This window comes from Homo sapiens, chromosome X, assembly GCF_000001405.40.
Source record: "Homo sapiens chromosome X, GRCh38.p14 Primary Assembly".
Classification (NCBI taxonomy): Eukaryota; Metazoa; Chordata; class Mammalia; order Primates; family Hominidae; genus Homo; species Homo sapiens.
The window spans coordinates 44,691,479-44,693,193 of record NC_000023.11 but is presented as its reverse complement, the minus strand read 5'-3'; the positions used below and the strand labels follow the sequence as shown (position 1 = coordinate 44,693,193).

The 1,715-nt window shown below is 48.3% G+C and overlaps 1 annotated feature.

Moving 5' to 3' along the window:
* Positions 817-994: a silencer, noted in NCBI's record as "fragment chrX:44551446-44551623 (GRCh37/hg19 assembly coordinates)". NCBI's record gives its function as "represses an EF-1alpha promoter that drives an FKBP-Casp9 reporter gene in an ReSE screen in phorbol 12-myristate 13-acetate-treated (for megakaryocytic differentiation) K562 erythroleukemia cells {active_cell/tissue: K562(+PMA)}" and the evidence as "EXISTENCE:reporter gene assay evidence [ECO:0000049][PMID:32094911]".

Below are 1,715 nucleotides of genomic sequence, written 5' to 3'. Positions count from 1 at the left end.
CACTGCAAGTTCTGCCTTCCGGGTTCACGCCATTCTCCTGTCTCAGCCTCCTGAGTAGCTGGGACTACAGGCGCCCGCCAACACGCCTGACTAATTTTTTGTATTTTTTAGTAGAGACAGGGTTTCACCGTGTTAGCCAGGGTGGTCTCGATCTCCTGACCTCGTGATCCGCCTGTCTCGGCCTCCCAAAGTGCTGGGATTACAGGGGTGAGCCACTGTGCCCGGCTTGGGATATATTTTTTAACACATAGCTGCCAACTACATAAAATTTGTTGTATGTCAAAGTATTAGGGTCCTCCCAGGAATTGATGTCACACCAAAGGACTTAGCTGAAGGGCATTTAATAAATAGACTGCTTCGAAGGTGTGAGTAGGGTTAAAGAGAACCAAAAAGAGATATTGGAATCTTCAGAGCCTAGTAACAGTGGGAAACCCTTATTACCTCTAGATCTGAAGCACCAAGCAGGGGCTGAAAGGATGCAAATAAATACCAAATTTCTCTCTCCTTCTGACCTCTGGTCGGTTAGTGCTTCCTAGAAGCCCAACACAACTGGATGCCAGAGGGATCCATTAATGTCATTTGTAGAGGTTAGCCTCTTTGGGCACAGAACAAGACCAAGAGATGAGAAATGAGAGGCAGAGGCCGGGCACGGTGGCTCACACCGGTAATCCCAACACTTTGGGAGGCCAAGGCAGTTGGATCACCTGAGATCAGGAGTTCAAGACCAGGCTGGCCAATATGATGAGACCCCCGTCTCTATTAAAAATACGAAAATTAGCCGGGCTTGGTGGCACACGCCTGCAATCCCAGCTACTCGGGAGGCTGAAGCAGGAGAATCACTTGAACCCGGGAGGCTGAGGTTGCAATGAGCCGAGATTGCGCCATTGCACTCCAGCCTGGGAGACAGAGACTCTGTTTCAAAAAAAGAAATGAGAGGCAGACAGTGAACAATCTGCTCACTCAATATGACAGGTATTGTTATGAGTATAATTGTGTCCCCTGCCAAAAGAAATGTTGGAGTCCTAACCTCCAGTACCTCAGAACATGATCTTATTTTCAGATAGGGTCTTTACAGGGGCAATCAAGCTAACATGAGATCATTGGGGCAGGCCCTAAACCAACATGACTGGTGTCCTTATAAAAAGGGAAAATTTGGCTGGGCATGATGGCTCACACCTGTAATCCCAGCACATTGGGAGGCTGAGGCGGGCGGATCACTTGAGGCCAGGAGTTCGAGACCAGCCTGGCCAACATGGCGAAACCTCATCTCTACTAAAAACACAAAAATTAGTTGGGCATGGTGGCGGGCACCTATAATCCCAGCTACTTGGGAGGCTGAGGCAGGAGAATCGCTTGAACCCAGGAGGCGGAGGTTGCAGTGAGCTGAGATCATACCACTGCACTCCAGCCTGGGCCACAAAGCGAGACTGTGTCTCAAATAATAATAATAAGTAAATAAATAAATAAAAGGGGGAAATTTGAACACAGAGACAGACATGGATAGAAAGAAGATGATGTGATGAGATGCACACAGGAAGGAGATGGCCATCCACAAGCTCAGGAGAGAGGCCTGGAACAGATCCTTTCCCCACAGCACTCAGGAGGAATCAACTCTGCCATCACATTGATTTTGGACTTTCAGCCTCAGAACGGTGTGACAATACATTTCTGTTTCTTTCAGCCACCTGGTTTGTGGCATGTTGTTACAGCGGCCT